The sequence below is a fragment of the Homo sapiens genome, chromosome 8 (genome assembly GCF_000001405.40).
Source record: "Homo sapiens chromosome 8, GRCh38.p14 Primary Assembly".
Lineage (NCBI taxonomy): Eukaryota > Metazoa > Chordata > Mammalia > Primates > Hominidae > Homo > Homo sapiens.
In genome coordinates this window covers 68,550,463-68,564,962 of record NC_000008.11, presented here as the reverse complement: position 1 = coordinate 68,564,962, position 14,500 = coordinate 68,550,463, and the positions used below count along the sequence as shown (strand labels likewise).

The following is a 14,500-nucleotide window of genomic DNA, read 5'->3' as shown; positions in this document are numbered from 1 at the left end:
CCAGCTCCAAGAGTATATGCACAGCAGAGTCGGCTTCCTCCTCCAGTAGTGGGCAGAGGGAGGATACCCTCATTTGTTCCTTGGCACTTTTGTCTTTTGATGTTCCTACTAAAATTTAACTCTCTCTCTCACTTCAGAAGAACAATCCAACCCTATAGATTCCATTAAATCCAAATATCTGGCTTATATTTTATAGCATCCACGAAATTGACATCTGGGAAATTGACAAACCTCTCTGTTATCTTTCCCGTCACCTGACATTGGCTCTCTTTTGCTCTCTGCCTTTGCCCTGGTGCCTGCAGATCACAAACCAGGAGGAAGGACAAGTGAGGTGGTTGAAAGTTGCTGCCACCCCGGATCTGTGCTGTGCTTGGGTAGAAATCTTCCAAAAAGCAGCAACCTAGTCCAGGGTGAGCCTTCTGTGTCCTACCCACATAGGACCAGGAGCAAAGAAGTTTATGCAAAAAGGGTGCAATATCCAGTTCTTCATTATATAAGGCCACCCATTTCAGGCTTGAATAGAGAAATAAATATGAACAACTCAAAATTATTTGCCAATGATATGACTAAGTATCCAAGTTGGCCTGACTAGAAAATTCCTCTCAGAGTTTCTCTCCCATCTTATCTGTTTCAATAAGCTGAAGTTACAATGATCAACTATATTTTGTTTCATTTTTGTTCTTTTAAAATAATATGGTCACTCTTTTTGGAGAAATATGTTGTTTGCAAATGCCGTTTTGCAAGATTTACAAAAACTGGAGGTTTTGTTCAATTGTAAATGTTAAAAATTTCAGAAATAAAGAGGTATATGGCATTTTTATCATGTTAGCAAATTTAGGGCATAAAGATATCTCCTTACTGAGAAACTATTGACAGCAAACTAATGTAGTTAAGGATATGCAGACTCTATAGTTATATAACATAGCATTTTTTATTTTGAAATTTAAATAAAGTACAGATATTTCTTTTTCAGACATGCTTTTGTCTTATCCAGTCATACTGAATATTGTGCAAAAGCTCCTAGTGATTTTCTGAAGCTAAATTGTGTTCAGTAATTCCTTTTCTTTTGCCTGATTTTGTTTCAATGTTATTTGCTCCTTTCTTTATTCTCCCTAGAAATTTGCACATGCTTCTGTTATGTCACTCAATAGAAATGTCACTTTTCGATTATATATCTCTTTCCTCACTAATCTATGAAAATTTTGAGGACAGAAACTTTGCTTTATTTATCTAAGTACCACTGCAACATAATACAACATGAGGGACAAACTGAGTGTTGATGGAGTTCATGTCTTTTTTTTTTTTAATCTTAACTCTTTCAAGCAGATAATCCCAAACTTGAAACATGAGCCCTCCAAAATCTGCTAGCTGGCTTTTATTTGAGCTCTCCTTCTCCCTTTGTAGCACTGGGATCTGTGGGTCATTCCATTTGAGAAAGAAGAAAACACCTTTTAAAAACCCTTTAAAAGTTGTGTTTTTATTTTAAACTTCCACTGGCTTTTGTTAAGGCCACTCACCATTTCTTATGATGATTCCAATGCACATAGCTTTCTGTTAATGCTTTATTTTCCTGACTCAGTCTGAACCTCTCTTTGCTAAACAGAGCTAGATATATTTAGAGTTATCACAACTGTAAAATCTGAAAGGACAGCTTTTCAAAATACAGAGAGTTAAGGCCCTAGGACACGCTTCATGTATCTTTGCATACATCCTTACTTTGAATAAGAAATCAATATTTTAATTACTGTTTTAAAAAAAATTGTAAGCATTTTCCTGGCTATCTAACCAGGTTAAGCAATTTCTCTGAAACTTTGTTAATTACTGAAAGTATCAAGGATGTGACAGTGTTAGTAATATTAGGAGGTTAATGGTGGTAGAATAAGGAAAAGAGTCACTGTAGCCTGAGATGGTGCATTCACATTCTATGTAGTAAACTGTGCCATTTAGATGTGTGTTTTAAAAAATTATAGTGCTGTGCCACAAAATATAGCTTTGGATACAGATCCAGGAATTATGGACAACTACCAAGGTTAAGGTATGAATAGAAATTCTAATTTCTTCAGGAAATATTAATGTTTCAACATTTGATAGACATTAGGAACATCAGCAACATTTTACATGTCATGTTAAATTACTGGGTATAAAAATAGCAAAGAACAAGTCGTACCACTTAAGGATCGCCCAATCTGATGAGAGACAGGTGCCTGTACATGTGAACCAGTAAGTTATGCAATATAGTTATGCATCAAGGGATTTTGCCCAAAATGCTTTTCTCTTCCTCTTCTTTGCCTTCATGCAATAAGTCCTTTTACAAACAACAACAACAACAAAATTGCTTACAATGTATCTCTATGATAATGTGTCTTTAGGACAAATCAGGCTGCATTTTCCTCCCATTACCCCTCCAACACTGTTCTAAGTAACTGTGCTTGTTGGAACTGTTGGAACACTTTCTTTCTAACTTCCAAATAATCTCAGAGGTTGATAAATGGTGTCTAACACAATGCCAGCTGTAGAGTCAAACTGCAGAAATGATTTGCTCAATGCTGAATGAAAATAAATCCCTTCTTAGACTTAGAGAGCAGCTAAAACAGATGAAAAGTCATACAAGATAATGAGTTTCCCAAGTATCAGATTCATTTTAGAATCATGATCTCACCCTACCAAATACAGATGCTTTGGTCAATGAGGGACCACATATACAACAGTGGTCTCATAAGATTATAATGAAGATGAAAAATTCCTATTGCCTAGTGACATCATAGCTGTCCTGACATTGTGCCACAACACAGTACTCACGTGTTTGTGGTGATGCTGGTGTGAACAAACCTACTGTATTGCCAATTGTATAAAAGTTTAGCACATACAGTCATGTATAGTACATATTAGATAATAAGAATAAATATTACTGGGTTATGTATCTACCATACTATACTTTTTATTATAATTCTAGAGCATACTCCTTCTACTAGTTAAAAAAAATTTACTGTAAAATAGCCCCAAGGTGGGATTTATTCCAAAAGAAGGCATTGTTATCATAGGAGATGGCAGCTCCATGTACCCACCTTCCAGTGGGACAAGATGTGGAGGTGGAAGAAAGTGACATTGATGATGCTGACCCTGTGTAGGCCCAGGCTAATGTGTGTGTTTGTGCCCTTGTTTTTTTGTTTGTTTTTTTGGTTTTGGTTTCTTTTCTTTTTCTTTTGAGATGAAGTCTTGCCCTGTCGTCCAGGCTGGAATGCAGTGTCGCAGTCTTGGCTCACTGCAACCTCCACTTCCCAGGTTCAAGTGATTCTCCTGCCTCAGCCTCCCAAGTAGCTGGGAATACAGGTGTCTGCCACCACGTCCAGCTAATTTTTTGTATTTTTAGTAGAGACAGGATTCCACCATGTTGGCCAGGCTGATCTTGAACTACTGACCTCAGGAGATCCCCCCATGTTGGCCTCCCAAAGTGCTGGGATTACAAGCGTGAGCTGCTGCGCCCGGACTTGTGCCTTAGTTTTTAACAGAAAAGTTTTAAAAATTTTTAAAAAGTTAAAAATTTTGTAAATAGAAAAAAAGCTTATAGAATAAGGATATACAAAGGAAAGATTTTTTTTTGTATAGCTGTATAATGTGTTTGCGTTTTAAGTTCAGTGCTATTAAAAAAGAGTCAAAGAGTTAACAAAAATTAAAAGTTGGGTTGGGTGTGGTGGCTCATGCCTGTAATCCTAGCACTTTGGAAGGCTGAAGCTGGCAGATTCCTTGATCCCAGGAGTTCAAGACCAGTCTGGGAAACATGGGGAAACCCTGCCTCCACAAAAAATACAAAAATTAGCCCGGTGTGGTGGCATGCACCTGTAATCCCAGCTACTCAGGAGACTACACTGGAAGGATCACCTGAACCCTGGAGGTGGAAGCTGCAGTGAGCTGTGATCACACGATCACACCACTGCACCCAGCCTGGGAGACAGAGTGAGACCCTGTCTCAAAAAAAAAAAAAAAATTAAATTAAAAGTGTATGAAGTTAAAAAAAAAAGTTATAGTAAGCTAAGGTTAATTTATTAATGAAGAAAGAAAAATTTTAAGATAAATCTAATGTAGCCAAAATGTAGAGTGTTTACAGAGTCTACAGTAGTGTACAGTGATGTCCTAGGCCTTCACGTTTACTCACCACTCACTTGACTCACCCAGAGCAACTTTCAGTCCTGCAAGCTCCATCTATGTTAAGTGTCCTGTACAGGAGTACCATTTTTTATCTTGCATACCATTTTTTACTGTACTTTTCTACGTTTAGATAAGTTTAGATGCACAAATACTTACCATTGCATTACAATTGCCTACAGTATTCAGTAGAATAACATGTTGTACAGGTTTATAGGAGCAATAGGCTCTGCCATCTAACCTAGGTTTGTAGTAGGCTGTACCGTCTAGGTTCGTGTAAGTACACTCTATGATGTTCACACAAAGACTAAATCTGGTAAGGATGCATTTCTTAGAAAGTGTCCCCATCGTTAAGTGAAGCATGACTGTAACCAAATGAAGGTAAATCTGTTGTCACTAATTTAAGTCCTGGTTTTAGAGCAAACTACGAAACAGCACAAGACAATGGAAGGCAAATACTTAGAGTAAAATGTTCAGGATGTGTAACTATAAGATAGTACATTCTTGATATGAAACTAAGTGAACAATAAAAAATGATCAGAAATGAAAACTCCTCCTTCTTTCCCTACTGCATGTGTGTGAACTGTCTCTCGGCACCTCTGTAGGTGCATAATGCTCTCCAATACATCTTCCAGTCTGCCACTCCGACACTGTTTCATTCAAAAAAAAAAAAAACACCAGAATCAGGTGACTCCCTTGCTTATCCTCTTCCATAGTTTTCCACTGATTTCCAAACCATTTAATATGGAATGCAAAGTCCCATTCTGACCTCAGCAGATCTTCCCAGCTTCATCACCCTCAGTATTCCGCCTCTGTCTGGTGAACCACCTAGTAGGAATGCTTCCATGTTCTCTGTTGTCCCCATCTGAAACCCAATGTTCCTCTCTGTACCTACTTGACTTTCAGGGACTGTGTTCCATCAACTCCATGGATCTTCTATTCACAGCCCACACTTCTACATTCAGGTGGAGCCCACCCACATGTCCCTAGGAGTCACATTCTTGCTACATCATAGCATGTACCACTGAGTATATTTTAACTGTTCATCTAACCGACTCCCTTCTCAAATTTTGAAGTTCCTGGCTACATGCTAATTTCATACCTACATCATGTTCAGATTTAATTTTTTAGGCTGAGGTGTTTTTCGACATCTATAAACAAAAGCAAATCCAGGTAATTTCTCCATGTAGATGAGTCTTCTGTATTAAAACAGGTCACACGTATTCTTATGACAACAAAAGAAAATGTTTTTTTGCCATAGACTCATGTGCCATTTCTCAAGTTTCCATCAGTATCCCTTCTGATCTTATTTTAAAGTTCTCTTTAATCAGTTTTAATTTGCAAAACTAAAATTCCTGTCCTGCCTTCTTCAGAAACTCCACCCTCAATTTACAGACTTACTCATACGTCTTATCATTTACAGGACATGTAAAAAAACACTCGCACTTTAAAAACTATACTAATATAAAGTCGTTTCTTATCCCAAAGCTGAAAATTATTTTTCCTGAATTCCTTGTCTATGTTGATGATACCAGCCTTCACTCAGGCTGGACACATAGAAATTACTTTAGGCTCCTCCATCTGTTACTTCCATAGCATAGTCATCATCTTCCACCTGTATTCCTGCAATCAGTGACCTCTGGTCTCCAAATCTAGGGATAACTCCCTTTCATCATTCCTACAACCAGCAGAATAACTTTTTAAAATGTAAATATGATCTTACCTTGTTTTATGTTCATGTTCACTCTCATTGGTTTCCTGCATCCCACTAAATCATCTCACAAGAAAACCCACCTTTCTAACTCAAGATCTTGTTAATCATGTCTTCTGTGATGCCTTCTGTGATTCTCCCAGTAATAGAATTAATCACCTATTCTCTCCCCTGCATGTCTTACTTTGTACATACTTTTAATGTTGTTTATACAACATGGATTTGTATTCGGTTTTTTTCTTCTTTGTTTCTTGTCTTTTTCTCTACTATTTGGGTAGTGACTGTACCTCATTTGGCTCTGTATTTTCCTAGTACAGGGCATAGCATAATCAATGACCTCAACAGCTAATCAGAAATGGAATCATAAGCCTCCACTAGCACTGATATCCTTCTACAATCACAAAAATAATTAGCCCATTTTTATATCTAAACATATTTTTTGCTAGAAGACCAGAAATTTCTTCCTGTGCTTGTGATCTCTCTCTCTCTCTTTCTCTCTCTCTTTCCCACTCGCCCTATCTCTTTCTCTCTTTCATCCTTTTCCTATTAGCATATTACTAACAATTATAGACATTTCTCAATTAATTAAATCCTCCATATTGGTACACTTTATGAGAAAAAAAAGAAACTATATAGTTAGAGATTTTCTTTTCTGTTTGGTAAAAACAATTTAATTTATTGTAAGAGAGGTATATTTCATTAATTTAAAAAATCAACATATATTTACTTTCCAACATTTTTAATGGAAAAATTTAAAATTATTTCTATTTAAGATTAGTAATCAAAGTTAGATTCAAAACCTAAAATGAGGTGAAGAATAGTTCGTTCTCCAATGCTATTCTTAAAATGGTGTTCACACAAGCTAGCTTCACTGCCTAATAGACCATTTTATTATGGCCTGTGTTGACTCAGAATAAAAATGCTGAGGGTTAATATAATAGTTTTCACCTATTATCCTATAACTTTTATCTATAAAAAGTTCAGAACTAATAAATGAGGATCAGCAGATGAAAGCCAGATGAAGTACCTTCTGAACCACAGGCGTTTGAGCATCTTTTCATATTTTAGGTGGAACATTTCCACGTTTTCTTTCTCCAGTTATAAAGGCATTTTTGGCCAAAAATCAGGGTAGAGAATGTTCTAAACTATTTCATTACTAACTCACATCTGTTCTAATTCTCAGCCTCTTATCTCTGACTGCCAATAACTGTGGCTGTCCATTATTCTGATGTTTATGCTATGGGCACCTGGTCTGGAAAGACTCCATCAGTCATATCCCTTATAATTAAACAGCATATAGAAAAACATCTTTGTTATTACAGAGTGAATGTTAAGTAGAAACCACAGTGAAAATCACCATATTCTCAGAATACCAAAACATCTCAACTACTCTTTGGGAAGGATGTTTATTCCCCATTGGTGTAGGGAGCTGATTTGATAAAGGCACATTTTTTGTTACAAGGTTGTTCTATGGCAGGCAATTTGTAGGGAAACCAAAGCACATTCTGATAGCTTACATGCAAGGTGGAGGTTTTGCTACTTACCTGCAAGATCTGGGTGGGCAGACAGCAAAGAAATAGCAATGAAATATAATAATGGTTTTGTTTGATGAGTCACTTAATTCCTGGGATAAGTAGCCTCATTATTGTCTAATAAACAGTAATTTGAATCTGGTATCTTTAGGAAGCAATTTGTAAGAGTTTATTTTAAAACTACAAACAGTTTTGTTAAGCTTTTGGGGCTCAAGTTTAGGATCAGTTTTCCAAAGGATTAGCTAATTAGAAAATTTAATTTACAAGAAAATCATTCCCCCACGGAGAAGGTTAATGGATTTTTCAGTGTAAAATTATTTGCCTAGAACTAAGTGCCAACTAAAATGCCAAATATAAATAGGTAACAAGTTAATTACAAAACACAGGAGCTAACAAACTTTATTTTACCCTCCAGGAAAATAATGTAGTCTGAAGCAATACTCAATCACTATGTAGATCCAGCAAGAATTTTTTCTGCTGTTCTTTTCATATACCAAAATTCAATAAAATACATATATTTTCACTGGCAATGTGAATAACTCAGGTTGTATGTATGGTAGAAATGATGGTCTGTAAGTAGACTCAGAAATAGGTTAAGAAAATTCAGGTTTAAAAAAATTTATTATAAGCATTCTTATTTCTTATTTTATGAGAAAGCAAATATGGTTTGTGAAAGAATGAAAAATTTAAAAAGGGAGTATATATGGCTACTAGAATCAACATTTGTGTTAGCTGTTAAAGGGAAATTCAATCACCATTAACTGCCATTTGTGGATGAAATCTATCATACCTACAACCTACATTACTACCAATGTTTTAAAATCCACAAGAACTTTGCAGTTCTTTCTAACAAACTTAAAATGCCATAAGGTCGACACCAGGGAGTACATCGGCCGAGGATCCCTGGGTAATGGTCTGATTCGCAGGGTCGTCCTCTCCAGCAGGCCTCAGAGGTGCCCTCGGCTCTTTATCACTTCCACACCTGCTCCTGTGCCCGGATCCTGGGGTTTGCTGAGTCAGGCTATGCCTCCTGACTTGTGCGCTACATACAGTCTTCAAAACAAGCTCACAATCTGCATTTCAAGCCTACAGAGTTTGCACTGTTAGCAAAATTATCAAGATACTAATCAGGGAAATGACAGAATAATCACAAAAAATTATTTAGAATAAATAATTTCATCCTAAAATTCATAGTAGTTTTAGTATCTTCTTCTTGTTTAAAATGGCTGTGTACAAAATCAAACAATAAGGAAGTATATAAAGCAAAAAAAAAAAAAAAAAAGATTCCCTCCTTCCTTAATACTGCTCCCCAAATTTAACTATAGATAGTAGCTTGGTTTACTAGATAGAGATTGAGATAAATATAAATATTTATATATCTATAGCTAATGAAATTTATATACTTTTTGGCCATAATTTTTTTTTCAAAAATGAGGTGACATACATAAGGTTTGCTACTTGTTTTTCAAAGCTAATAATTTGGATGTATTTCATGTACTAGTATGTGGATTTGATTAAATTACACAATGTAAGTTGCTACTAATGTGGCTGACTGACTGTCACAAAATGCTTTCTGCCATTTCAAATACAAAAGTGCTAGACACTCTCAGGTGTGAACCCAAAAGAAACTCAAACAAAGTTGCCCAAGAAAATAGGACAGGGATATTCATAGTGGTACCTAGGGTAATAGTGTAAATCTGGAAATTGATGAATAGAGAAATGGATAAATGCATTTTGGCATATTGATACAAGAGAATGCTAAGTAGCAGGTAAAGTAAATGAACTATACCTACATATACCTACATGAATAAATTTCTAAAACACAAAATTAATTGAAAAAGAAACTTTGAATTGTATGCATAGTACAATATTGCAGACGTAAATTTAAAAAATATATACATTATTATTGATACATCCCTGAGCATGTAAAACTGTGAAATAATAGAATAAAAACCAAAACCAACATCAGCATAATAATTACCTCTAGAGAAGGGAGGGAACTGGAATGATGGAGATAGAAGACTGAAATTAGGGAAAGGCAGAAAATTAATAGTATAAGAGTTTTCTAAAATCTTAGTCTTGCTAAGGAGAAGCCTAAAGCTGCAAGACATGTACGTTAAAAAAGTTAAAGAATGTAAGTAGAATGCATGAATCTCACCAGGGTAAAAGATAAAAGAACAAAAGAGAGGTGGAAAATAGCCAACACTCATAAAATGCTTCTTATTGCTATGCATCAAGCACTATTCTACATATATTTACTCTCTTAATCCTCACAACAATCCTCCAAATGGTATCCCAGTTTTGCAGATGAGGAAACTAAGAGAGAAGCTAAAATAATTGGCTCAAGGTTGTACAATTAGTAATGAACTTGAGAGGCTGAAACAATGGCTTTCTGTCTCCAATGCTTGTTCTCTTTACTATACCACACTATCCCTTTGGGCTTATTCAATAAAACTTGCAAAACAATAGAAATCAGTAAAGGAAAGGAAATAGGGTATGAAAACAAACAGAAACTTTTTAAAACATAAAAAAGTATTAAAAGTGTAAACATAAAAAAGTGGCAAAATAAAGCCAAGTATTTTCAGATCCACAATAAATGTAAACAGAGTAAAGCTACCAAATAGAGAGCATGTCTCTGAGGTTAATTTTGAAAAATACAAGAGCAATCTAAGGTTGTTTAACAAGGGACAAAACTAAAATATAATGGCACATAAAGTAATTTTTTTAAAAAAGATATGTGGGTGTGTATACACAATTCCATGCCATGTTTTGTTACACTGCATTTGAATTTTAGATCTGCCAATGACTAGACATTTGCCTTTGTCCAAGTCATTAAATGTCTTTGAGCCTCATTTGCCTTGTCTTTAAATGGGAGTGATATCAATCACACTATAGGGTTATTATGAAAATTAAATGTGATAATGCATATAAAACACTTACTATGGTGGCTTAACCTGTAGCAATGCTTAATAAACTATGAAGAAAACTAAAATCTCAAAGTTATTCTTTTAAACTATTGTATAATTATATTAAGGACCATGAATAGCAGCTGAGATAGGAAAAAAAGAGTGACTGTACCTCATATACAAAAAAGTCATTTAATCACATTTAACAAGTTTCTTTCTTTTGACTAAATTTAATCAAATATGATTCTCTGTTTAGATACAGGTTAATTCCATAATAGCTAAAAGAATTAAAGAAACTGTTAGAAATCAAATAAAGCCAGGGTCATCCACTAAACTTAATTCAAAGCAAAATTTCTCACAGAAGATCAGCTGCTACCACCACCTATGCATTAATAAATGGCTGCTTTACCTTATATTGTCAATAAAGGTAGGAATTTCAAGGAAGAACTTACTGAAAAATATAAACTAGAGTTGTAAGTATAACATACATCTCAAACTTTTGCTATATGAATGTGAACTTTATATAACAAGACTATAAAACCTTTAAAAGGTTAAATTTCAGATGATAAACCTGTAGATATTTTTATTGGATTTTTTTCAATTTGCTAACCAATTTGACTTGAGGCACACAGAGAAAAGAGCACATTTAAAAGTTTCTTGAAATATGATGTGTTATTAATTATACTATCTCATTTTTTGATTTTCATTGAATTTGAATTCCCCTCATTATTTCAACTTATTAAACTCAGAAGAGTTTTCCACAACTTCAAACTTCTCATTTTTTTTCATAAAACTTTTGTTGTGGCATAGAATAAACATATTTATTACTTCACAGTCAAGAATGTGAGAAGAGAAAAATCAACAAACCCAAAAGTTAGTTCTTTGAAATATTGACAAAAGTTACAAATCTTTAGCTAGTCTGACCAAGAAAAAGAGAGAGAGAGGAGGCTTAAATTACTAAAATCAGAAATAAAAAAGGGGGCTACTGACCATACGGATATAAAAAAGGAATGCTCTGAACAAGTGTACGCCGACAAATTAAATAACAGATGAAATGGACAGATTCCTAGGAATAAATAAATTATCAAAACTAACCCAATTAAAAAATATAAAATCTGAATAGGCCTTTGACAAGCAAAGGGATTGAATCGCAATTTAAAACTCCAGATACAGATGGCTTCATTGGAGAATTCTGCCAAACATTTAAAGAATTTGTACTGGTGTTTCATAAACTCTTCCAAAAAATGAGTGGAGGATATGTTTTTTTTTTTTTTTTTTTTTTTTTTGAGATGGAGTCTCGCTCTGTCGCCCAGGCTGGAGTGCAGTGGCTCCATCTCAGCTCATTGCAAGCTCCGCCTCCCGGGTTCACACTATTCTCCTGCCTCAGCCTCCCAAGTAGCTAGGACTACAGGCACATGCCACCATGCCCGGCTAATTGTTTGTATTTTTAGTAGAGACAGGATTTCACGGTGTTAGCCAGGACGGTCTCGATCTCCTGACCTCATGATCTGCCTGTCTCGGCCTCCCAAAGTGCTGGGATTACAGGTGTGAGCCACCATGCCTGGCCCCAGTGGAGGATATGTTTTCAGGCTCATGCTATGGGACCAGTTTTACATAATTCCAAAACCAGATAAAGGCATTAAAATAAAATAAAACAAAACAACAATATCTCTTATAGACGTAGATACAAAAGTCCTCAACAAAACACTAGTAAACTGAATTCAGCAACATATAAAAGGAATTATAGAAACAACAAATAAGGATTTATCCCTGAAATACAAGGTTGAGGTAACATATAAATAAAATATTAATACAAGATACCATATTAATAAAGAATAAAAACCACATGATCATCTCGTAGATGCCAAAATTTTGACAAAAATCCAACATCTTTATGATTCAACAACAACTTAACAAACTAGAAATAAAAGAGAACTTTCTCAAGTTAACAGAGAATCTACAAAAAATCCACAGCCAACATATACTTAATGTTGAAAGACTCAATGCTTCCCCCTAAATTACAGTACAAGGATGTCCACTCTGTTCACTTCTATTTTGGTCTTGTATATAGAAAATCCTAAATAACCACTAAAAAACCTATGATAACTGACAAACATTAAGTAAGACTGCAAAATAAAAAAATTAGTGTACAAAATGAATTATGTTCTACACACTGTCAATGAAGAATCCAAAAAGGAAATTAAGAAACAACTTCATTGACAATAGCATGGAAAAAACACTTAGGACTAAATTTAACAAAGGAAGTATAAAATTTGTACTCTGACAAACTAAAAAATATTCTTAAAAAATTAAAGATCTAAATAATTGGAAAGATATTGCATGTTAATGAATTAGAATAGTTAATATAGGTAATACTTCCCAAATTGATTTACAGATTTAATGAAATTTGTATTAAAATTCGAGGTGATGTTTTTGAGGAAGTTAAGTTGACTCTAAAATTTAGATAGAAATGCAAGGGAAATAAATTTGAAAAAGCACAGAGTTGGAGGACTTACTCATTTCCAAACATATCACATAGCTAGAGTAATTAGGATAGTGTGGTATTGTCATAAAGACAGACATGTACGTCACTGGAATAAAATTGAGAGTCCAGAAATAAACTCAAACATGTATGGTCAATTGATTTTCAACAAGAATACCAAGCAAATTCAATGGAAAAAATTCATCTTTTGACAAATTGGTGTTTTGCATGTGGGACTCCTGAATATCCACATGCAAAACAATGAAATTGGATTCATATTTCACACCATAAATAAAAATGAACTCAACAGAAATCATGGGCATAAATGTAAGAGTTAAAACTTTAAAACCTTTAGAAGAAAACATGAGTTTATTTTTAGACATTCTGACTTAGCTAAGGTGGGGCAGAGGGGAGTGGAGAGTACATATGAAGTTCAAAGTCTAGAAGCACAGACTCACTAAAAGACAGAGATGCAATCATGAGACTATAGAACACTTCTTCCCCCATCCCCATCTTACACATTGCTAAAGGCATATCTACAGCAGTTTCTCTTAACCAGTCCATCATGTCTGCCTATCAGGAAAGAACTACAAGACATAATAAAAGGCACAAAAAAGCCCCAAACAAACAAACAAAAAACCTCCTATAGCCTGAAGAGAGAGGAAACAAGAAGTAACCAGATTCAGATATAGTGTGGATGTTGAAATGATCAGTCTGAAATTTTTTAAAACCATGATTAATACAGTAAAGTCTCTAATGGATAAAGTAGATAGCATGAAAGAAAAGATGAGCAATGAAAGCATAGAGAGCAAAATTCTAAGAAAGAATTAAAAAAGAAATGTTACAGATAAAAAACATGGTAAGAAAAATGAAGAATACCTTTGATAGCTCATTAGTAGACTGGACATGGCTGAAAAAAGAATCTCTGAGCTTCAGATTATGTCAATAAAACTTTCAAAACAAAAAAGCAAAGAGAAAAAAAGAAATAAAAAAATCACATCAGCATATTCAAGAACTGTGGGGCAATTGTATAAAATGTAACATATGCATAATGAAAATACCAGGAAGAGAGGAAAGAGAGAAAAGAGAAGTAATATTTCAAGAAATTTTGACTGAGAATTTCCCCTAAGTTACTGTCAGACACGAAGCCACAGATCCAAGAAGCTCAGAGAACATTAAGTAGGAAAATGTCAGTAGAACTATACCTAGGCATACTATGTGCAAACTGAAGAAAATTGAAGATGAAGAAACTTTGAAAGAAACCAGAGGGGGGGAAGCAGAACAAACAAAACAAAAAAAAAAACTTTACCATTAGGGAGGAAACATAAGAATTACATTTGACTTCTCCTCAGAAATGATGCAAGCAAGAAGAGAGTAGGGTGAAATAGTTAAAGCACTGAGGGGGAAAAAAAAAACACAAAAACACCAACTTAGATTCCTGTACCATATGAAAATATCAAATCTCCTTTAAAACTGAAGGAGAAAAAAAGACTTTCTTAGACCAATTAAAATTGAGGAAATTTGTTGCCAGTAGACCTCTCTTTCAGCAAATGTTAAAAGAAGTTCTTCAGAGAGATAGAAAATGATGTAGGTCAGAAACTTGGATCTGTATAAAGAAAAAATGAGCATTAGAAAATAAACAAGTGAAGGTGAAATCAAAACTTTTGTTTTTCTTAATCTTAATTGATCTAACAGATAGCTGTTCAAAATAATAGCAACAATGTAT

General features: G+C 34.6%; 1 protein-coding gene across 11 annotated transcripts in view; it reads right to left on the bottom strand.

The window, feature by feature from the left end:
- C8orf34 (chromosome 8 open reading frame 34) overlaps window positions 1–14,500 on the bottom strand; it is a 488,651-nt gene that overhangs the window by 254,061 nt on the left and 220,090 nt on the right. Inside the window, exon 8 of one of the 11 annotated variants that reach the window (XM_011517450.3) lies at window positions 13,125–14,380. The exons of the other annotated variants lie outside the window; for them this stretch is intronic. Coding sequence (XP_011515752.1) covers window positions 14,367–14,380 — 14 coding nt within the window. The 3' untranslated portion in view covers window positions 13,125–14,366. Of the gene's footprint in view, window positions 1–13,124; window positions 14,381–14,500 lie in introns of those variants that run through there. 11 annotated transcript variants of the gene reach the window in all.